At 37.2% G+C, this 23,736-nt stretch overlaps 1 protein-coding gene across 4 annotated transcripts in view, besides 3 other annotated features; it reads left to right on the forward strand.

Annotated features, from left to right (window-relative positions):
* Window positions 1-23,736, forward strand: part of TMEM38B (transmembrane protein 38B) — an 82,089-nt gene that overhangs the window by 17,716 nt on the left and 40,637 nt on the right. For 3 of the 4 annotated variants that reach the window (NM_018112.3, XM_011518831.3, XM_005252075.3), the window contains exons 3-4: window positions 9,281-9,465; window positions 10,278-10,365. The exons of the other annotated variant lie outside the window; for it this stretch is intronic. In NM_018112.3, the coding sequence (NP_060582.1) occupies window positions 9,281-9,465; window positions 10,278-10,365 (273 nt within the window). The remainder of the gene's footprint in view (window positions 1-9,280; window positions 9,466-10,277; window positions 10,366-23,736) is intronic. 4 annotated transcript variants of the gene reach the window in all.
* Window positions 1,252-1,546: a silencer, noted in NCBI's record as "tiled region #1451; K562 Repressive non-DNase unmatched - State 14:Gen5'". NCBI's record gives its function as "represses a minimal TATA promoter and a strong SV40 promoter by Sharpr-MPRA in K562 cells {active_cell/tissue: K562}" and the evidence as "EXISTENCE:reporter gene assay evidence [ECO:0000049][PMID:27701403]".
* Window positions 1,252-1,546: an enhancer, noted in NCBI's record as "tiled region #1451; HepG2 Activating non-DNase unmatched - State 23:Low". NCBI's record gives its function as "activates a minimal TATA promoter and a strong SV40 promoter by Sharpr-MPRA in HepG2 cells {active_cell/tissue: HepG2}" and the evidence as "EXISTENCE:reporter gene assay evidence [ECO:0000049][PMID:27701403]".
* Window positions 1,918-2,118: a silencer, noted in NCBI's record as "peak7316 fragment used in MPRA reporter construct". NCBI's record gives its function as "represses an SCP1 promoter by STARR-seq MPRAs in K562 erythroleukemia cells {active_cell/tissue: K562}" and the evidence as "EXISTENCE:reporter gene assay evidence [ECO:0000049][PMID:32103011]".

Consider the following 23,736-nt stretch of genomic DNA (forward strand, 5'->3'; position numbering starts at 1 on the left):
CCTGACTTTTATGGTAATCACTTTTTTGAATATTTTAATAATTTTATCACTCAGTGCTTATCCTTAGATACTATAGTTTAGTCATGCCTATTCAAAAATTTCATTTGTTTCTTAAGCTTTTTAAAAAAATGGTTAACCCTTAATTTCTTTCTTTTCCTTAAACTTTATCTGTTGAAGAACCAGAGCCAGTCGATTTGCAGTTTTCCATAGTCCAGAGTTTGCTGATTGCATAATCATGGTATAGATCATTATATTCTTCTGTTCTTTGTGTTTCCTCACAGTTGGAAGATTGATGCAGAATCCAAATCAGATTTAGGCTAGATCCCTTTACCAAGACTTCTAAGAGGTCCCATTTTGTGACATTAGCACCCTTTTACATTTAGTGCCTATTAATTAGAAATTGCAAAATGAAGATAGTCTAGTTTTATCTTTTCTTCTTATTTATTAGTTGGAATATTACTATAAATGATGACAGCCGCAGGCCATCTGGTGTGGCTGCTGCCATCATGTCAGCTGCTTCAGGGAGGGCACAGGGAGAAGGCGGACAGCCCCACACCCCCCACAGCCCACCAGCCACCCTTGGGGTCTCCACGATGGGGCTGGGCCAGGCTGGTTCCTGCACCGGCCAAGGGGGAGCTTCAGGTCGCCCCTGAGCTTTGGGGCCACAAAGGGAGCTTGCATGGCAATGTTGCCCCTGTCCTGGATGCCAGCCCAGGCCCAGTGAGGACCTGGAGCCCCCACCCTAGGCTGTGAGGGGACTTGGCCCAGTGCCATGCACCACGGAGCAGAGGGAGCTGGGGACATGCGGGAGCCCTGCCCCTTCCAAGTTGGTGGGGCTGGAGCTCCCCAGGTGCAACTGCAGCTGCCCAAGTCATGGCTGCAACCCAGGCACCCCTCTGCTCTTGGGAGCCAGGAGTAGGCAGTAGAGGGCAGGGCTGCAGCCTTCAAGTAGTGGCTGCAATCCCTGACCTGCCGCTCCACGGAGCAGGCAGGATCCCCACTCCAAACCCCTCCCCGACAGCTGCAGCCCCCCAAACCGGGGCTGCAGACCCAGGCATACCTGCACTCTTGTGGGGTCTGGGAAGGGCCCCCTTGCTGTTGCAGGCTTGGAGGTGCCTGCTCCCGCTGCCTGGCCTCTCCCCAATCTTGGAGCAAGGTTGGGGCTGGGTTGGGGCTGAGCCTAGGCGCTGTCACAGCCTGGCTGGGTGTGCCATTGCTTGGGGCAGTGCTGACGTGCCAGCCCCCTGCCACCTTGGCCCCCTCTGGACTTTGGGTGCTGAAGAGTGCGGGAGGGGAAACTGAGGGGTGGCTGAGGGTGGCCAGGCGCTGGCCTGCAGGTGCCCCTTGGTGCCAACAGCCTGGACATGATGGATGACGTGGGAGGCAGACAGGCTTCTTGGTGGAAGGGGGCGGGTTCCCAGTGAAGCCCCACCTTCAGGCTTGGGCAGGTCTGAAGCCTGGAGCTGGGCTGCCAGTCCTGCCACCAGAGGCGGAACTCATAGTGCCTTTTCCTGGGCCCACCCATGGCTTCCCATGGCTGCTCATGGACAAATCAGCATGCATTTCTCTCCTCTGAGGCCCATAAAAGCTCTGGGCTCAGCCAGGGCAGGGCAGAGTAGGAAGAGTTGACTGGCCAGTTGCAGAGAGGACCTACCCTCTTTGGGGCCACCTCTGCTGAGAGCTGTAGACATGGGGATGACCAGCTGCAGGGAGGAGCTACCCTGTCTGCTGAGAGCTGAGCACGGAGGAGTTACCCTCTCTGCAGGGCCTCCTCTCTGCTGAGAGCTGCAGATGTGGGGATGACCAGCTGCAGAGAGGAGCTACCCTCTCTGTTGAGAGCCGAGCACTTGTTGGGATGACCTGCCTACAAACCGCAGAGAGGAGCCTCCTCCCTGCTGAGAGCTGCAGAGACAATGGGAGGACCTGCTTGCAGAGAGGAGCCACCCACCTTCCTCTCAGCTGACAGCTGCACACTCAACAGGATGACCTGCCTACAAAGAGGAGCTACCCACTGTGGGTCTTCTCTGAGCTGCTCTAACACTAAACAAAGCTTCTCTTTGTCTTGCTCACCCTCCACTTGTCTGAATACTTCATTCTTCCTGGACGCAGGACAAGAGCTTGGTCAAGGGTGCCACCAGCCACAAAGGTTTCTGCCCAGAAAAGTGACATCCCAAAGATCCCAAAATACAAATAGATACTTCCTGTTTATCATCTATTTGGAAACCAGCTATACAGTTCATACTGGAAAGGTAATGCTTGGTTCTTTCCCTTCATTTACCAGTTTTCAGTATAATGAACTGGATGTCTGTCATTGTCTAAAGATACCAGCTTAAATAAAATAATTATGAGCTCATGGACTAACTATATTTCATTGGTTTCAATAAAATTTCAGTTATTTTCATATCGAAGCTCAAATTATCCCATCTTCAGCCAGTGGAAGCCTCTTCAGATAGACTCCTGAGACAGATTTTGAATTAGTTTACTTTCTACCTGGTGTTGTAAGATTCATTGTGTGCTTTTCTTCTGGAATCACTTGTTTCTCTAAGACGTTCTGGTTTCTTTTGGTGAGCAATGGCATTTCAAGACCACAATTTGAGTGCTAGAGACGCTCACTGTTATTGGGTTGATCATTATGTCTAGGCCTTTTTAGTGAACAGAGCTAGGAAAAATGAAGATAAAATAACTCATGACTTTATATTCATATTTCTAATTCAAATTCAGGACCATATAGCTTTTTAAAATTTTTTCCCTGTTACATATATATCTCCTTTCTTCCACCCTAAGAATTTGGTTTCTTAAGGACATAGGATGTGATTAAATTAATATATTCTAACATTACTGATTTTTTTCTGTATTATGCACACAGTAGTCTTAGAGTAATGTTAAAGACTACCAAAGAAATGATTACAGAAAATTATTATTGCATATGTTCTATTAATTCTCCCATTTTAACAATAAATGTACTATTTTACACTGTCATTTTAAATATATTACTCCATTTTCTTCTGGCTTAAAGCACTGCTGTGAAAGTCTGGTGATCTTTTAATTTTCTTTCTCTTTTAAGATCTTTTTTTTCTAGATCCCTAAAGATTTATTTTTTCATTAAGGTCCAGTCATTTAAATAAAATATCTTGGTGTTCGTTGTTGTGCGACAGTATTCTCTTCTACATGGTGTGTTCTTTTTGGTACCTACACTTTTTTTTAATTGAGAAAGTAATACTAGTATTTGTATTCTTCCTTTGCATTGGTTAAGAACTCTTATTATTGGTATATTGGCTCTTCTTTGCCTTTCTTCAAGGATTTTTTAAAAATCTATATTTCTAAAAAAATTAACCTGCTTTTCACTTGTTTTTCTCTTTTCTCTTTTCTCCTGCTGTTTCTTTGAAGACACTATCTGTTATGTTTCTCTTTGTGTTTTCTGGTTTGTTTTTTATTTTGGAAATGATTTTTTTTCTTTTATCTCTTACTCTCTCCTGAGTGTTGAATCTTTGGTTCTCAGTTTTGCTTATTCTTATGTGTGTTCTTTTATGTCTTACATGACTTTCTTAATGTCTTTAGCTTGTTTTGAAATCATAGTTTACAGTTTTGATCTGTTTTGTTTGCACATTTTCCTGAGTGCTTACATTGTCTATAGGGATTTATTCTGCTTATTTTTTTTCTTGTAATAACTTTGTATAGGATTTGATCTTGATACTTTTGGTCATTTTTATATGAAATTGGCTTTCATAAACTTGCAGAATGTGGTGGAAATATTTTCTTGACTTCACAGAGCTCCTGCTTTTGTTTTTATGTAGTGTTCAAAAGATGAGGACCTGCTTTTTGATATTTCTTGGATCTCTTACCTTCCTTGGCTTGGTGTGGACCTTTTCTTTCTTCTGTTCTATTCTGCTCAGGTTTGATTCTTCCCAGTTTCTTCTCAGTGTGGGGAGCTCAGGCTTGATTCTTCTCAGTTTCTTCTCAGTGTGGGGCTTATTATAGAAGAGAGCCCTGGTGGGTCAGTTTCAAAAGCTTAAAGCTCAGAGGGACTAAATTGTTCCAACCCTTTCAGAACTTCTTATCATGGGCTCTTTGTCTTATCTGGTATTAGAGATGCCAGAACCTCTGTCAGTTGTAGCATTTGTGTGTGTGTGTGTGTATATTTCCAAATGAGTCTGCTCTGCTTTCCAGTGAATACCCGTTAGCTATTTTGGTATGATTTTGGTCTTAAGTTCATCAGTTGCCACCTTGTTGCTTTCTTCTTTCTGCCAAGTAGTACAGTGTTGTGGGTGTTAGTGATTTTTCTCTACCCACTTGCATTTTGGGGTTTGAGGGGATACCTTGTCACATAGTTTTGTTGTAAGTACAGTTGACCCTTGAACAACATGAATTTGAACTGTGTGAATCCACTTATGTGCAGATTTTCTTCTGCCTCTGCCACCCCTGAGATAGCAAGACCAATCCCTCCTCCTCGTCAGCCTACTCTTTGTGAAGATGAAGAAGAATGGAGACTTTCATGATGATCCACTTCCACTTAATGAATAATAAATACATTATCTCTTCCTTAACATTTTCTTAAACATTTTCTGTGGCTTAATTATAAGAATACATCAGGGACAGGTAGGTGACAGTGAAAAAATTATGTAATACATATGACATAAAAAAATCTGTTAATCACCTGTTCATAGTATTGGTGAGGCTTGTGGTCAACAGTAAGGTATTAATAGTCAGATTTTGGAGAGTCAGAAGTTATATGTGGTGTTTTGATTGCATAGGGGTTGGCATCCCTAACCCCCATGTTGTTGAAGAGTCAACTATTGTGCGTGGGATTTTGGTTTTCCTGTCTTGTTTCTCTGTATGTTTTTATGGGAATTTGAAGAGTATCAGAATGTATGCAGCCACTACCATCTTCTCAGAACCCTTACCATTAGTTTTTATGTCACTTCTATGGTCTCCTCCCATTCCATCTCTTTTCTTCCGCCTTCAGAAGTAACCATTATCTTCAACTTCATGATGCCCAGAGAAATAACTAGAAGCAATAAAAATGCTCATCCACAGAAGAAAAAATATGGATATTAATATAATGGCATTATCTAATAGAGTTTAAGAATCACTTTCCTAAAATAAATCTTTAAGCATATAACAAGAGAAAATGTTGCTTATGTACAGATATGTGCAAGAATGTTTTTAAAACACTATTTATAATAGGGAAAACTGGGAACAACTCTCTGTCAGCAGAGAAATGATGGATAAATTATGGCATATTAATTCTGTTACGGTAAATACTGGTGAAAATTAGTAATTATAACCACACACAATAAGAATAAATCTCAGGAATAGAGCTTAAACAGAAAAATACATATGATTCTATTTATAAAACCTTTAACAACTATATTGTTTATGGATATAAACATATGCTAAAACTACATAAAAAAGCTAAGATTTGTATTCAACATTATGTTACTAAGATTCATCTGTTTGTTTGTATGTAGCTGTAGAACATAACTTCCCCCTGCTGTATAGTCCATTATATTAATATCTATATTTTATTCTTTTGTTGATGGCAGTTTTCTTGGTTCTAGGTGTTTAGTTAGGCATTACAAAACAACAATAATAGCAATTACATAGCATTTACTGTGTCCCAGTTTTCTAAGTGTTTTGCTTATGTTATCTCACTTAAACCTGACAAGAACCCTGAGACGTAGGTATTATTTTATTCAATTACGTGTTAAAAAGCATGTAATTGAGGCATGGAGAGGTTAATAACTTGCCTAAGGTGTCACAGTTACTGAGTAGTTGAAGCTGGGATTCCAACCTGGCGCAGCTAGTCCTTTAATCTGTACTTACACAGTATATTGGTTTGTACTCTGGAAACAGGAATGTTACCTTTGTCTTCAGAGATCCTTAAATATAAAAAAATTATGGCTTAAAGACATAGTGTATTTTACTATTTTCTTTTTCAAAGTTTTCATATTTAGAACAAATTTGTAATCTTTGCTTCATTTGAGGTTTTTTTTTTTTTTTAGATGGGGTCTTGCTCTTGTTGCCTAGGCTGGAGTGCAATGGCACGATCTCAGCTCACTGCAACCTCCGCCTCCTGGGTTCAAGTGATTCTCCTGCCTCAGCCTCCCAAGTAGCTGGGATTATAGGCGCCCGCCACCATGCTGGCTAATTTTTGTGTTTTTTAGTAGAGATGGGGTTTCTCCATGTTTTGTCAGGCTAATCTTGAAGTCTTCACCTCGTGATCCTCCCGCCTTGGCCTCCCAAAGTGCTGGGATTACAGGCATGAGCCACCGTGCCCTGCCCATTTGATTTTAATTTGAGAGATAAAATGATGTTAGAAATGTTTTTAAACAAGCAAGCAAGGTAATCTTTAGTACAGTAGCTCATAGTGTATACATCTGGAAATTAGCACCATCTACTGGCAAAGAGAAACAATAACTTGGTATGTCATAGTATTGTGTACACTTTCATAGGTTTTATTTGTTTTGAAAAGCTGTTCCCGGGGGAAATAAATATTTTATAATTTTTTAGTATGTTTATTTTTGTTTCCTATATATTTTTCTTAAAATTCCAAGTATCAATTACTTATATATGGCACATTTGTGTAACCGAGACTACATTTAGATGAGGAAAAATACAACAAAAGGTATCATTTTATAGTTGTCATTCTGTCTGTATTTTTCAAAGCATGTACAAAAAATTTTCAATTTGTTGGAGTGATAAGAGCAAGAACAAAGCTGTCATACTGGACTAACATGAACTGTATTTAGTTTATCATTGTGTTTTGTCTTAGTTAAGTGATACTGTCTTCGATAGAGGAGTGGAATTGATAGTAGAGTGAAAACAGAGTTCTCAATGACTAAGCCTGGGAAGCTTCTCTCTGCCTAACTTTTTGTATATACCTAAATTCTACTCTCACTTTTTCTTAAACTGGTTGAGATTTCATTTGTTTGTGGCCTAGGGTCTTGTTTGTATCCCGTTTGAGACGTTTATTCTTTCGTTATTTTTTCTCTCCATTAACTTAACCTATAGTTAAATGTATGAGAAGTCAGTTGTTTTCTCATTCCACTTCCTCTCTCATTTTGTGATATGTTTTCTTTAGGCACTTTACAAGTTAAAGTTACCTTGGATATGATAATTTTAGTTAAAGGTGAAATTATGTTTACAGAAGGGTTACAAGGTTATTACCTAATAAGTGTTGGTTGAGGGATTTATTAAAAGAATTTTAAAGGCTAATTTGTTATAGAGCAGGAATGGTTGTTGAGTGTGCCATTGGTCTGATATGTTTACTTGTAAGTCTACTGAGCACAATAAACAATTGTTCTTTTGCCCTGTGGCTACTTAACTCTCAAATGAAAACAGTTTTTTTGTTTAAAATGTTAACTTATTGTAGGTGTGCTTTAGAAAGATCTGATTAAATAGAAGAGTTGCAATAATTGCAAATTTTTTAATGTCTTATACTATAATGTCACATAGTTGAATACCGAAGTCCAAGATTGCTATTGTAATAGTATAGGTTTTTAACTCACGTTAAAGTTAGGCTTAGTGTAAGGAATGAAAATGGGTCATTTATAACATTCTTTTGGTTGTTTTTCTGAATATTTTACTTTTGGGTGCTCATTACTGCTAAGGTGAAAACAAATCCCCCTTTCTTAATGTAATCTATAATAGATATAAAAATACATTTAAAAATTAAGTGTGTATACTTTTCCCCCATTACCTAACCAACTTCTTAGAAATTAGTTCTATATTCAAAGAGAGAACTATACAGACTTTCAAATTTTCTATGAATGTGTAAAAATTTTAAATCATACTAGTTGTTTTTAAAAATCTTATAGAACATGTACAATTTTAAAGCCATACAAATGGTCTTCAGAAATCTTTTTACTACTCTCAGATAGTTTATTCTTTTTTCTCAAACTCTTTAATTATCAACTAATGCTTTGATTTGCTGTATTTTGGATTTTGAATCCAGATTGACTGCTAATAAATGATTTAATTCAGGGCTACTTTTCATCATGCTGAGTTTTAGGTTAGAGGGTAACAAGATGAATGATTTCTGTCATCTAAGAACTATTGTAGTTCATTATGAGCATTATAGCCTTTATTTTATATTATAAAGAATAATGTATAAAGAGCTATTTTTAGGCATAGGAACCAATTGGTTTAGTTTTACAGAGCCATCAGAATGTAGTCTGAGCTGAGATGTTAAAATAAAATAAGAATCCCAAAGTCAATGACTATGGTAATATTTGAGTGGCACCTTGAAGAGTAGGAAGGAATTGGTAAGTGGAGATGAAGAAGAAAGGGTGCTTTAGGCTAAACAGACTATTGTATCTTTTTATTTAGTCGCTGAAGCAGTATTTTGGCAAACATTTCATATTTCATGAACATTGAAGAATTCTGACTTTATAAATCGTGAATTGCAATAAGATTAATAGCTTCTTTTAAAAGAGATATGATATTCTTTCATGCCATGTCTTTTATTTACCCCGTTAGAAAGAAGATATGTTCTACTTTAAGCACAAAATTGTCAGCCAGAGTATTTGGAGAATGGAGAGAAAAAAGCAGTATGTTTTCCAATAGATCTTACTGCTAGTATTCGAATAGATGCTTAGAACAAATGAAGTTTAAAAAAATAATTTACCATAGATGGGATGAATTATTTTTAATCACAGTTTAATTTGGTTAAAACTTAAGCTTAGTGAACTAAATTAAAGAACAGCTTCATATTCTTTCAGCTGTATAGAAATGTGTTTTTCCTTAATACAAATCTGCCTCCTTGTGAGCCGTCATGTACCTTTGTATAGATTGTAGTTTATGTCCTGCACAGTGGGGCACAGGTGAATATGTTATTTGAGATTGAAATGTAGCCCTTGCTTTTACCAAAGGACCCTTTCTCTAATTCATTTTCCCAGAGGACAAAGACACTGTGTAGGAGTTCCTACCCCTGGAAATGATTATACATTTGTTTTGTTACTGGATTCAGCACTTAGCTTCTAGAACAATATAGGCACAAATTAAGAGCTCACTAAATATTTCATATATCTATAAAGTATTCAGAAGTCCACAGTTTACATTCTTCTCTGATCATGACTTTTTGGCAGATGACATATGTTTCATGTGATTTAAAAAATTGCCTCCCTACCCAAGTTGTGCTTTTATTGAAATCAAGTTAAATGTTTATATGGAAAATTCCATTTGTTGTGTTTTGCCAAATTGTTGTTGCTGTTAGGTTAGATTTTAATTTCTGTTCTTCTGATTCCATTAATATATTAAAATGTTTACATTTCATTTTCAGGTATATTACATTTTTTTGCCCGCATGACCTAGTTTCCCAGGGCTATTCATATCTACCTGTTCAACTACTGGCTTCGGGAATGAAGGAAGTGACCAGAACTTGGAAAATAGTAGGTGGAGTCACACATGCTAATAGCTATTACAAAAATGGCTGGATAGTCATGATAGCTATTGGATGGGCCCGAGGTAATATTGACAATATGTGTTCATAAATATTCTGTTGTTGGTGTATTATTAATACCATTACTGAACAATTCTCTAGTTACATTAATGGATCACATACTTTAATAACAGAGACTTTTTGGAAGGTAAAAACCTTGTTTCTGTTGGCTGGTAAAGTTAATTCAAAACTAGTACTAGTCCTAAGCCATTATTTTGAGCCTGAGTGTCTTATGATAGAAAATTTTTATGATTGGTTTGATTAAGATCCCCAGAACCAGAAAGATTTATAGTTAATTAAGGTATAGTGCCTCTGTAAATAAAATAAGTTTACATAAGAAATTATGTGGTACATATGAATAAAAAATATTGCTCTGTCTTTTCTGTGTTTTTTTCATTCAGAATTACTAGAAATAATAAATATGATTGACTATGGGTTCATGATCATTGAACTTTACATCACTTGCCTTTTTGTTTTGCATGTAGGAATTGAACAAATCTCTGTAACCTCTTTTTACAGTATACTGCACCTGAAACCGGTCGTATCAGGAAAGGAAATGATAAAGCAGAGGATTTTATTTTTCAGTTCTGAAACAAACTTCTAACCATATCTTTGTGCCCGAGGCCCCAGTTTTAACAGTTGACATGCTGGTGAAAGGGAAGAATTGCAGTTGTTTTAGTACCCTAAATGTACAAGGCAACTTTTTTCTTCTTTCCAAGAATTATATTTTGGGAATCCTCTTGGAATGTATTATCAGGTGATAGAATTATGGCTCCCTTTAAATATGTTTTACAGGAAAATTTGGCCAAATATTCTTGTTTTATTTTCATATTTTTAGGTGCAGGTGGTACCATTATAACGAATTTTGAGAGGTTGGTAAAAGGAGATTGGAAACCAGAAGGTGATGAATGGCTGAAGATGTCATAGTAAGTTGGTATAAATTATACTGAGACCTAGATGTTTATCCTTAGATCTTACCAAATTCCTTTTTAAGAACATTTTAGGGACTTTAAATGTGGGTGGAATATAGCTGAAAATATAAATAGTAATGATAATGGGAAGAGAACTAGCAAATTTTGTTCTTTTAAAAAGTCTGCTTTCTCAAATGTAGTTTAAAATATATATTTTCCTTCTCTGTGGGTTTCTCTCCTTAGAAAACAAAATCAAACAAAAACCTCTAGATTATAGTAGAATTGTGGGAAAAGTATATATTTATAAAGTGAAAGCTACGTAGGAATAGACTTCTCTGGATGAAAATGAATCGGTGATAGGCTCTTGGCATTTTCATTAATGACTATGACATCATCCAGATTTCAGGCTATATATGTAGTTCTGATAGTAAAATGTTAAGTTTATGGGATCAAATCAATACATTATCATAAAGTGCTTTGAGTTGCTTTAAAAAATGTCAGTTGAGCTTAATTACAGATTAAAATAAGAGAAAGATTAGAGAAATAACCCATTGTGTGATACAAACTGCCTTTTGCATCTATTTAAGATAATCTGTTCTCTGAAGACACTGACTTAGTCTTATTTATTACTTTTTTAAAGAGACAGATTCTGTTGTTCAGGCTTTAGTGCGATGGTGTAGTCATAGCTCACTGCAGCCTAGACCTCTTAGGCTCAAGTAATCCTCCCACTTCAGCCTCCCAAGTATTAATAGTTGGGACTACAGGTGTGTGCTATCATGCCTGGCTAATTTTTGTAATTGTATTTTTTTTTTTTTTTTGAGACAGGGTTTTATTCTGTCACCCAGGCTAGAGTGCAGTCACTGCAGTCTTGATCTCTTGGGCTCAAGTGATCCTTCCACCTCAGCCTCCTGAGTAGTTGTGACTACAGGCATCTGCCATCATGCCCTGCTACTTTTAAAAATTTTTGTAGAGACAGGGTCTCATCTCAGTATGTTGCCTTGGCTGGTCTTGAATTCCTGGGCTCAAGCGATCCTTGTACTTTGGCCTCCAAAAGTGCTGGGATTACAGATGTGAAGCACCACACCCAGCCAGTATTTTTATTTTTGTAGAGATGGGGTCTTGCTGTGTTGCCCAGGCTGGTCTTAACTTTTGCCTCAAGTGATCTTCCTTCCTTAGCCTCCCAAGGGGCAGGGATTACAGGCATGAGCCACTGTGCCTGGCCGAACTCAGTCTTTATTTTGTTTTGAGTCAGAGTTTCGCTGTTGTCACCCAGACCAGAGTGCAATGGTGTGGTCTCGGGCTCACTGCAACCTCCGCCTCCCAGGTTCAAGCAGTTCTCCTGCCTCAGCCTCCTAAGTACCTGGGATTTTGGGCGTGTGCCACCATGCCCAGCTAATTTTTGTATTTTTAGTTGAGATGTGGTTTCACCATGTTGGCCAGGCTGGCCTCAAACTCCTGACCTCAGGTGATCCACCCACCTTGGCCTCCCAAAGTGCTGGGATTACAGGCTTGAGCCACTGTGCCTGGCCCAGACTCAGTCTTAAATAAGTCACAGATACGTTTCTCATGTACCTAAAAATGAGGTAGAGAAGTATAGTTACTGTTCCCATAATTCAAGAAGGAAAAGACTTAGAGAATGGTGGCTGTAATAAGCAAGGTGAGGAAAGACTTCATGTAAAAATAAGCTCATTTTCTAATTTAAATTGGATTAAAAATAGATTATAATGGATTGAAAATGAAGGTTGAGGCTGGGCACGGTGGCGTATGCCTGTAATCCTAGCACTTTGGGAGGCCGAGGCAGGCGTCAGGAGTTCGACACGAGCCTGGGCAACATGGTGAAACCCCGTCTCTACTAAAAATACAAAAACTAACTGGGCGTGATGGCATATACCTATAATCCCAGCTACTCAGGAGGCTGAGGCAGGAGAATCACTTGAACCTGGGAGGCAGAAGTTGCAATGAGCTGAGATCGCACCACTGCACTCCAGCCTGGGTGACAGAGGTGAGACTCTGTCTCAAAAAAAAAAAAAAGAAGAAGGTGGAAAGGCAGTACAAGTGATGAAGTACATTTGTGTGAACTAACAAATTTCGGGATATTTAACTTGAAAAATACCCCTTTAAGTTTGAATGAAGTAGTTTAGAAATAGAACAAAGGAAGCTTTGATTAACGATAAGTTATAAATAAGATACTCTTGATATTCAGGGGAGATTTTTCTCATTTTGAGTATATGCCTTGAAACACCTTCCATAAAACATTTTTTTGGGCTTTTATAACCAAAATCAAATTATGTTTCTACTTTGTTCAGAAACCTTGCATTGATTCCTCCAAACGGCCTATAAGTCCCTCCAAATGTGCCTTTCCTCCTTTCCAGTTTGCTTTGATTTCATCTCTTGTTATTATTTCCCTTGCTCACTCTACTCCATGCTTGAGCAAGTCAAGTATGGTCTAGTTTAGCACTAGCTTTTGTCACTACCTAGAACGATTTTTCTTAGATGGCTAACTCCCTTATTTACTTTGCTCAAAGTATTTTCTCAATGCTTCCTTCTCAGTGAGGACTAACCTGCTTAAAATTGCAACACCTCGTTCTATTTTACTTTTTTTACAACATTTATCACCTTCTAACATGTTATGTAATTTACTTAATCATTATGTTTATTCTCCCCTCCCCTTGGCTCCTCCTCCCACCCTTCAACGAATATAAAATGCTAGGGACAGATATTTTTGTCTCTTTTGAATGCTCTTGTGTCCCAAGCACCTAGCACATAGTAGATAATACATACTAGATGACTGTATGAATTATCAACAACTGGGTCAAGTGAGATAGATCACTGGTTCATTATGATGGTTTGTGTTTATGTATATAGTCATGTGTTGCTTAACGATGGGGATATGTTCTCAGAAATGTGTCATTTCATCATTATGTGAATGTTATCAAGTATACTTACACAAACCTAGATGGTATAGTCTACTACACACCTAGGCTATATGGTATAGCCCATTTCTGTTAGGCTACAAACCTTTACAGCATGTTACTGTAGTGACTACTATAGGCAATTTTAACGTAGTAGTAGGTATTTGTGTATCTAAACATACCTAAAGAGAAAAGATGTGGTAAAAATATGGTCTGAAAGATAAAAAATGATACACTTGTATAGGGTACTTAGCAAGAATGAAGGTGGCAGGACTGGAAGTTGCTCTCTGTGAGCCACTGAGCAAATGGTAAGTGAAGACCTAGGACATTAGTGTGCACTACTGTAGACTTTATAAACACTGTACACTGAGGCAACACTAAATGTATAGAAAAAATTGTTCTTTAATAATAAATTAACCTTAGCTTACTGTAACTTTTTTCTTTTTTAAAAAATTTCCCTTTACTTATTTTTAAAAATTTTTAAGTATTATGGGTACATAATAGTACATATTTATGGGGTACATGTGATATTTTGAACCAGGCATGCAGTGTGTAGCGACATCAAGGTAATTGGGATATCCATCACTTCAAGCATTTATCATTTCTTTGTATTAGGAACATTCTAATTCTACTCTTTTAGTTATTTTGAAATGTACAATAAATTATTGTTAACTATATTGTACTACTATGCTACCAAATACTAGATCTTATTCCTTCTAACTGTAATATTTTTACTTGATAAACTTTAAATTTTTAAAAACTTTTTGAAGCTTTCGTAGTAACACTTAGCTTAAACACAAACATTATACAGTTGTATAAAAATATTTTCTTTGTATTCTTATTCTATAAGTGTTTTTCTGTTTTTAAGATTTGTTTTTTACTTTTTAAACTTTTTTTGTTAAAAATGAAGACATAAACACACACATTAGCCTCGGCCTACCCAGGGTCAGGATCATCAATATCATCATCTTCCACCTCCACATCTTGTCCCACTTGAAGGTCTTAGGGGCAATAATGCACATGGAGCTTTCATCTCCTATAATAACAGTGCCTTCTTCTGGAATATTTCCTGAAGGATCTGACTGAGGCTGTTTTACAGTTCACTTAAAAAATAAATAAATAAATAATAGAAAGAGGCCAGCTGCAGTGGCTCATGTCTGTAATCCTAGTACTATGGGAGGCTGTTGCAATCTCTATCTTTTAATTGGAGGGCTTGGTCCAATTAATTTGTAACTTGGGGTGATAAAATATATGAGTATATATAAATTGTATTAAAATAACATAATTATTGATATGGTTGCATTTAGGTCTATGATTTTATTATTTATTGTTTCCTCTAGTCCTTTTTTTTGCCTTCTGTTGAATCCAAGAGAGTATTTGTAGGAATTCCATTTTAATTTACTTGTTGGCTTATTAGCTATACCTCCTTGAATTATTATTTTTACTGGTTGTACTAGCAATTATATCTTCAATTTTTCATAGACTACTGAGAACATTATACTGCTTCATATTCATCATCTCACATAGTTTCTTATTTTGTGTGTGTGCAGCAGGAGCAGCCACAGTCTACCCATTTAACAAAAATCCTGAATACATTACACTATAATTAGCTATCGTCCTTGTGTTATACATTAGATCTTTAGACTTGTTCATCCTACATGTGTGCTTCTTTGTATCCACTGACCTATATTTCACATTTCCTCCCCCGACCCTGCCCACTGGTAATTGCTGTTGTATTCTCTGTCCTTGTATATTTGACTTTTTTTCCCCGAGATCCCATGTGAGATCATGCAGTAATTTTCTTTCTGTGTCTGATTTATTTCATTCAGCATAATGTCCTCTAGATTCATCCATGTTGTAGCAAATGGCAAGATCTCCCTTTATAAGGCTAAATAGTATTCCATTGCATATACAAGGTGACTATCTCTTATTTGAAGTGGTTGGGACCAGAAGTGTTGTGGATTTCAGATATTTTTGGATTTTGGAATATTTGTATTATATACTTACTTGGTTGAGCATCCCAAATTCAAAAACCTGAAGACCAAAATGTTCCAATGAGCCTTTCTTTTGATCATGTTGGTACTCCAAAAGTTTAGTATTTTAGAAGATTTAGAATTTCAGATTTTTGGATTAGGGATGCTCAACCTGTATATATCACAGTTTCTTTATCCATTCATCTGTTGATATGGTTTGGGTGTTTGTCCCCTCCAGTTCATGTTGAAATGTGATTCCCAATGTTGGAGGTGGGGACTGGTGGGAGGTGATTGGATCATGGGGGTGGATCCCTCATGAATTATTTATTACCATCCTCTTGTGATAAGTGAGTTCTTGTTCACTGAGTTCACACAAGATCTGGTTGTTTGAAAGTCTGGTTCCTTTCCCTCCTCGTTCTCTTGTTCCCAGTCTCACCATGTGATGTCCTCCCTTTTTGCCTTCTGCCATGATTGTAAGTTTCCTGAGGCTCTCACTAGAAGCTGGGCAGATTTTGGTGCCACTCTTGTACCTCCTGCAGAACTGTGAGCCAATTAAGCCACTTTTCTTTATAAATTACCAAGCCTCATGTATTTCTTTTTTAAAAATCATTATTATTATACTTTAAGTTCTAGGGTACATGTGTACAACGTGCAGGTTTGTTACATAGGTATACATGTGCCGTGTTGGTTTGCTGTACCTATCAACTCGTCATTTACATTAGGTATTTCTCCTAACACTATCTCTCTCCCAGCCCCCCAGCCCCCAACAAGCCCCCGTGTTTGATGTTCCCCTCTCTGTGTCCATGTGTTCTCATTATTCAACTTCCACTTATGAGTGAGAACATGCGGTGTTTGGTTTTCTGTTGTTGTGATGGTTTGCTGAGAATGATGATTTACAGCTTCATCCGTGTCCCTGTAAAGGACATGAACTCATCCTTTTTTATGGCTGCATAATATTCCATGGTGTATATGTGCCACATTTTATCCAGGTTATTATTGATGGACATTTTGGTTGGTTCCAAGTCTTTGCTATTATGAATAGTGCCGCAGTAAACATACGTGTGCATGTGTCTTTACAGCAGCATGATTTATAATCCTTTGGGTATATACCCAGTAATGGGATGACTGGGTCAAATGGTATTTCTAGTTCTAGATCCTTGAGGAATCACCACTGTCTTCCACAATGGTTGAACTAATTTACACTCCCACCAACAGTGTTCCTATTTCTCCACATCCTCTCCAGCATCTGTTGTTTCTTGACTTTTTAATGATCGCCCTTCTGACTGGCGTGAGATGGTATCTCATTGTGGTTTTGATTTGCATTTCTCTCATGACCAGTGATAATGAACATTTTTTCATATGTCTGTTGGCTGCATTAATGTCTTCTTTTGAGAAGGGTCTGTTCATATCCTTTGCCCACTTTTTGATGGAGTTGTTTGATTTTTTTCTTGTAAATTTGTTTAAGTTCTTTGTAGATTCTGGATATTAGCACTTTGTCAGATGAGTAGATTGCAAAAATTTTCTCCCGTTCTGTAGGTTGCCTGTTCACTCTGATGGTAGTTGCTTTTGCTGTGCAGAAGCTCTTTAGTTTAATTAGATCCCATTTGTCAATTTTGGCTTTTGTTGCCATTGCTTTTGGTGTTTTAGTCATGAAGTCTTTGCCCATGCCTATGTCCTGAATGGCATTGCCTAGGTTTTCTTCCAGGGATTTTATGGTTTTAGGTCTAACATTTCAGTCTTTAATCCATCTTGAATTAATTTTTGTATAAGGTGTAAGGAAGGGATCCGGTTTCAGCTTTCTACATATGGCTAGTCAGTTTTCCCAGCACCATTTATTAAATAGGGAATCCTTTCTCCATTGCTTGTTTTTCTCAGGTTTGTCAAAGATCAGATGGTTGTAGCTGTGTAGTGTTATCTCTAAGGTCTCTGTTCTGTTCCATTGGTCTACATCTCTGTTTTGGTACCAGTACCATGCTATTTTGGTTACTGTAGCCTTGTAGTATAGTTTGAAGTCAGGTAGCGTGATGCCTCCAGCTTTGTTCTTTTTGCTTAGGGTTTTCTTGGCTCTGCAGGCTCTTTTTTGTTTCCATATAAACTTTAAAGTAGTTTTTTCCAATTCTGTGAAGAAAGTCATTGGTAGCTTGATGGGGATGTCATTGACTCTATAAATTACCTTGGGCAGTATGGCCATTTTCACAATATTGATTCTTCCTACCCATGAGCAAGGAATGTTCTTTCATTTGTTTGTGTCCTCTTTTATTTTGTTGAGCAGTGGTTTGTAGTTCTCCTTGAAGAGGTCCTTCACATCCCTTGTAAGTTGGATTCCTAGGTATTTTATTCTCTTTGTAGTAATTGTGAATGGGAGTTCACTCATGATTTGGCTCTCGGTCTGTTCTTGGTGTACAGGAATGCTTGTGATTTTTGCACATTGATTTTGTATCCTGAAAATTTGCTGAAGTTGCTTATCAGTTTAAGGAGATTTTAGGCTGAGACGATGGGGTTTTCTAAATATACAATCATGTCATCTGAAAACAGAGACAATTTGAATTCCTCTCTTCCTATTTGAATACGCTTTATTTCTTTCTCTTTCCTTTTTGCCCTGGCCAGACCTTCCAATACTATGTTGAATAGGAGTGGTGAGAGAGGGCATCCTTGTCTTGTGCCGGTTTTCAAAGGGAATGCGTCCAGTTTTTGCCCATTCAGTATGATACTGGCTGTGGGTTTGTCATAAATAGCTCTTATTATTTTGAGATACGTTTCAGCAATACCTAGTTTATTGAGAGTTTTTAGCATGAAAGGCTGTTGAATTTTTTTGAAGGCCTTTTCTGCATCTATTGAGATAATCATGTGGTTTTTTCGTTGGTCCTGTTTGGATTACGTTTATTGATTTGCGTATGTTGAACCAGCCTTGCATCCCAAGGATGAAGCCAACTTGATCGTGGTGGATAAACTTTTTGATGTGCTGCTGGATTTGGTTTGCCAGTATTTTATTGAGGATTTTTCCATCCATGTTCATCAGGGATATTGGCCTAAAATTCTCTTTATTCGTTGTTGCCAGGCTTTGGTATCAGGATGATGCTGGCCTCATAAAATGAGTTAGGGAGGATTCCCTCTTTTTCTGTTGATTAGAATAGTTTCAGAAGGAATGGTACTAGCTCCTCTTTATACCTCCTGTAGAATTTGGCTGTGAATCCATCTGGTCCTGGACTTTTTTTGGTTGGTAAGCTATTAATTATTGCCTCAATTTCAGAGCCTGTTATTGGTCTATTCAGAGATTCAACTTCTTCCTGGTTTAGTCTTGGGAGGGTGTATGTGTCCAGGAATTTATCCATTTCTGCTAGATTTTCTAGTTTATTTGAGTAGAGGTGTTTATAGTATTCTCTGATGGTAATTTGTATTTCTGTGGGATCGGTGTTGGTATCCCCTTTATCATTTTTTATTGCGTCTATTTGATTCTTCTCTCTTTTCTTCTTTATTAGTCTTGCTAGCCATCTATCTATTTTGTTATCTTTTCAAAAAACCAGCTCCTGGATTCATTGATTTTTTGAAGGGTTTTTTGTGTCTCTATCTCCTTCAGTTCTGCATTGATCTTAGTTATTTCTTGCCTTCTGCTAGCTTTTGAATGTGTTTGCTCTTGCTTCTCTAATTCTTTTAATTGTGATCTTAGGGTGTTGATTTTAGGTCTTTCCTGCTTTCTCTTGTGGGCATTTAGTGCTATAAATTTCCCTCTACACACCACTTTAAATGTGCCCCAGAGATTCTGGTACGTTGTAGCTTTGTTCTCATTGGTTTCAAAGAACATCTTTATTATTATTATTATTATTATTATTATACTTTAAGTTCTAGGGTACATGCGCACAAAGTGCAGGTTTGTTACATATGTATACATGTGTCATGTTGGTGTGCTGCACCCATTAACTCGTCATTTATATTAGGTATTTCTCTTAATGCTATCCCTTCCCCCTCCCTCTCACCCCACGACAGGCCCTGGTCTGTGAGGTTCCCCACCCTGTGTCCAAGTGTTCTCATTGTTCAACTTCCACTTATGAGTGAGAACATGTAGTGTTTGGTTTTCTGTCCTTGTGATAGTTTGCTCAGGATGATGGTTTCTAGCTTCATCCATGGCCCTACAAAGGACATGAACTCATCCTTTTTTATGGCTGCATAGTATTCCATGGTGTATATGTGCCACATTTTCTTAATCCAGTCTATCATTGTTGGATATTTGGGTTGGTTCCAAGTCTTTGCTATTGTGATTAGTGCAGCAATAAACATACGTGTGTATGTGTCTTTATAGCAGCATGATTTATAATCCTTTAGGTATATACCCAGTAATGGGATCGCTGGGTTAAATGGTATTTCTAGTTCTAGATCCCTGAGGAATCGCCACACTGTCTTCCACAATGGTTGAACTAGTTTACAGTCCCACCAACAGTGTAAAAGTGTTCCTATTTCTCCACATCCTCTCCAGCACCTGTTGTTTCCTGACTTTTTAATGATCACCATTCTAACTGGCATGAGATGGTATCTCATTGTGTTTTTGATTTGCATTTCTCTCATGACCAGTAGTGATGAGCATTTTTTCATATGTCTGTTGGCTGCAAAAAAGTCTTCTTTTGAGAAGTGTCTGTTCATATCCTTCACCCACTTTTCGATGGGGTTGTTTGATTTTTTTCTTGTAAATTTGTTTAAGTTCTTTGTAGATTCTGGATATTAGCACTTTGTCAGATGGGTAGATTGCAAAAATTTTCTCCCATTCTGTAGGTTGCCTGTTCACTCTGATGGTAGTTTCTTTTGCTGTGCAGAAGCTCTTGAGTTTAATTAGATCCCATTTGTCAATTTTGGCTTTTGTTGCCATTGCTTTTGGTGTTTTAGTCATGAAGTCTTTGCCCATGCCTTTGTCCTGAATGGTATTGCCTAGGTTTTCTTCCAGGGATTTTATGGTTTTAGGTCTAACATTTCAGTCTTTAATCCATCTTGAATTAATTTTTGTATAAGGTGTAAGGAAGGGATGCAGTTTCTGTTTTCTACATGTGGCTAGCCAGTTTTCCCAGCACCATTTATTAAATAGGGAATCCTTTCCCCATTTCTTGTTTTTCTCAGATTTGTCAAAGATCAGATGGTTTTATATGTGTGGTGTTATTTCTGAGGCCTCTGTTCTGTTCCATTGGTCTGTATCTCTGTTTTGGTACCAGTACCATGCTATTTTGGTTACTGTAGCCTTGTAGTATAGTTTGAAGTCAGGTAGCGTGATGCCTCCAGCTTTGTTCTTTTTGCTTAGGATTGTCTTGGCAGCGTGGGCTCTTTTTTGGTTTTGTATGAACTTTAAAACAGTTTTTTTGAATTCTGTGGAGAAAGTCATTGGTAGGTTGATGGGGATGACACTGAATCTATAAATTACCTTGGACAGTATGGCCATTTTCACAATATTGATTCTTCCTGTCCATGAGCATGGAATGTTCAAAGAACATCTTCATTTCTGCCTTCATTTCGTTATTTACCCAGTAGTCATTCAGGAGCAGATTGTTCAGTTTCCATGTAGTTGTGCGGTTTTGAGTGAGTTTCTTAATCCTGAGTTCCAATTTGATTGTACTGTGGTCTGAGAGACAGTTTGTTGTGATTTCTGTCCTTTTGTATTTGCTGAGAAGTGTTTTGCTTCCAGTTATGTGGTCAATTTTAGAATAAGTGCGATGTGGTGCTGAGAAGAATGTATATTCTGTTGATTTGGGGTGGAGAGTTCTGTAGCTATCTATTAGGTCTGCTCAGCTCTGGGCCTCATGTATTTCTTTATAGCAACACAAACAGCCATCTCTTGATGGACACCTAGGTGGTTCTCCATCTTGGCTATTTGAATTTGGTTTACTGATATGGTATTGAGGTTTTTTACATCAATTTTCATGAGAGATATTGGCTTGCAGTTTTCTTTTTTCTTTTTTTTTTTTTTTGCGGTGTCTTTGTCTGTATTAGGCATGAGCTGATGATGGCCTCTGAAAGTGTGTTAGGCATATTCCCTCTAGCTGTGTTTCCTTGGAAGAGTTTAAGAAATATTGGTATTAATTCTGTTTTGAAAGTTGGTAGAATTCAGCTGTGAAGCCATCTAGTTCTGGGCTTTTTATTCCCTTGGGAGACTTTAAGTTTATATTCCAGTCTCTTTGTTTGTTATTGACCTGTGCAGGCTTTGTACTTCTTCCTGATTTAATCTTGGTTGGTTATTTTTTTAAGGAATTTATTCACTTACTCTAGGTTATCCAGTTTGTTGGCATATAATTGTTCATAGTAGTTGCTTATTATTCTTTTTATTTCTGTGGTGTCTGTTGTAATGTCTCTACTTTTGTTTCTGATTTTATTTAAGTCTTCTATCTTTTTTGCTGAGCGTAGCTAAGCATTTGTCAATTTCGTTTAGATTTTCAAAAAACCAACTCAGTTTGATTGATTTTTTTCCCCTATGTTTTTTCTATTTGATTTATTTCTGTATTCTTTCCTTCTTTGTGCTAATTTTGGGTTTACTTTGTTCTTTTTTTATTTCCTTGATGCATAATGTTAGTTATTTATTTGAAATATTTCTTTTTTTAATGTAGTTATTTATTGCTATAAACTTCCCTCTTAGACCCACTTTTGCTGCATCATGTAAGTATTGGTATATCTTATTTCCATTGTCATTTGTTTCAGAATATTTTTAAATTTCCTTTTTGATTTCTTCTTTGACCCGTTGGTTGCCCAGGAGCATCCTGTTTAATTTTCACATATTTTTGAATTTTCCAAAATTCCTCCTGTTGTTGATTTCTAGTTTTATACTATTGTGGTCAAAATGACACTTGATGTGACTTTAATATTATTAAATTTGTTAGGACTTGTTTTGCAGCCTAACATGTGGTCCATCCTGGAGAATGTTTTATGTGCACTAGAGAAGAATGTGTATTTTGCTGTTGTTGGATGGAATATTCTGTAGATGTTTATTAAGTCCATTTGGTCTAAAGTATAGTTCACATTCAGTATTTCTTTATTAATGCTTTCTCTGGTTGATATGTGTTGAAAGTGAGGTATTGACGTACCCTACTATTATTGTATTGCTGTTTCATCCCTTCCTGTCTATTAATATTTGTTTTATATATTTAGTTGCTCCAATGTTGGGAACATATATATTTATAATTATTATGTCTTCTTGATGAATTGACTTTTTTATCATTAAATACTGACCTTTGTCTTTTCTGAAAGTTTTTGACTTGACATCTGTTTTATCTGATATACGTATACCCACCTCTGCTCTTTTTTGGTTACCATTTGCATGGAATATGTTTTTCATTCATTTACTTTCAGCCTGTGTGCATCCTTAAAGCTAAAGTGAGTTCCTTGTAGGCAGCATGTAGTTGGATCTTTTTTTTTTTTTTTGTCAGTTCAACCATTATATATCTTTTTTAGGGCATTTAATCCATTTACATTCATCCTAGAAAAGGGATTTTCTCCTGCCATTTTGTTAATTGTTTTCTGTTTATTTTGTAGATCCTTTGTTCCTTTCTTCCTCTTGTTGTTTACCTAGCTTTATTTCATTTTTCTCTCTAATTTGCATATTTACTGTATTTTTTGTGTGGTTACCATTGGGCTAACATTAAGAATCTTTCAGTTAAAACAGACTATTAGACTATTTCAAGCTGATAACAACTTAACTTTACTCACATAAAAGTACTCTAGACATTTTCCCTATCCTTAATTTATATTTTTGTTGCCTTAATTTACTTTTTTACCTTTTGTGTGTTCCTTAACTTTGAATTATAGATGTTGTTTTTGACCATTTTGGCTTTTTATGTTTATACTAGAAGATTGAAAGATTTATATAGCACCATTACAGCACTGGGGTATTTTGAGTTTGATTTTGAAGTTACTTCTAGTGGTGAATTATATACTTTCACATACTTTCATGATAGTAATTATTGTCCCTTTGCTTTCAGTTGTGGCACTCTTAAGCATTTCTTGTAAGACTGGTCTAGTGGTGATGAATTCCCTCAGCTTTTGCTTATCTGGGAAGGTCTTTATGTAACCTTAATTTCTGAAGAATAGCTTTGCTGGGTATAGTATTTTTGGCTGCAGTTGTTTTCTTTCAGCTGTCTAAATGTATCATCCCATTTTCTCTTGGCCTGTAAGATTTCTGTTGAGAAGTCAACTAATGATATAATGGAGATTCCCTTGTATGTGACATGTCAGTTTTCTCTGGATGTTTTTAGAATTCTCTCCTTGCCTTTTACTTTTGACAGTTTGGTGATTATGCATCTTGGTAAAGATGTCTTTGGGTTGAACCTGTTTGGGGAGTTTTGAGCTTCCTGGATGTGGATATCAGTATCTCAACCAAGACTTGGGAAATTTTCAGCAATTTTCATTTATTAAAAAAAATTTTTTTAGAGACAGTGTCTTGCTCTGTTGCCCAAGCTGGAGTGCAGTGGCATGGACATAGCTCACTGTAATCTCGAACTCTTGGGGTCAAGTGATCTTCCCCTCCTCAGCCTCTC

This window comes from Homo sapiens, chromosome 9 (assembly GCF_000001405.40).
Source record: "Homo sapiens chromosome 9, GRCh38.p14 Primary Assembly".
NCBI lineage: Eukaryota > Metazoa > Chordata > Mammalia > Primates > Hominidae > Homo > Homo sapiens.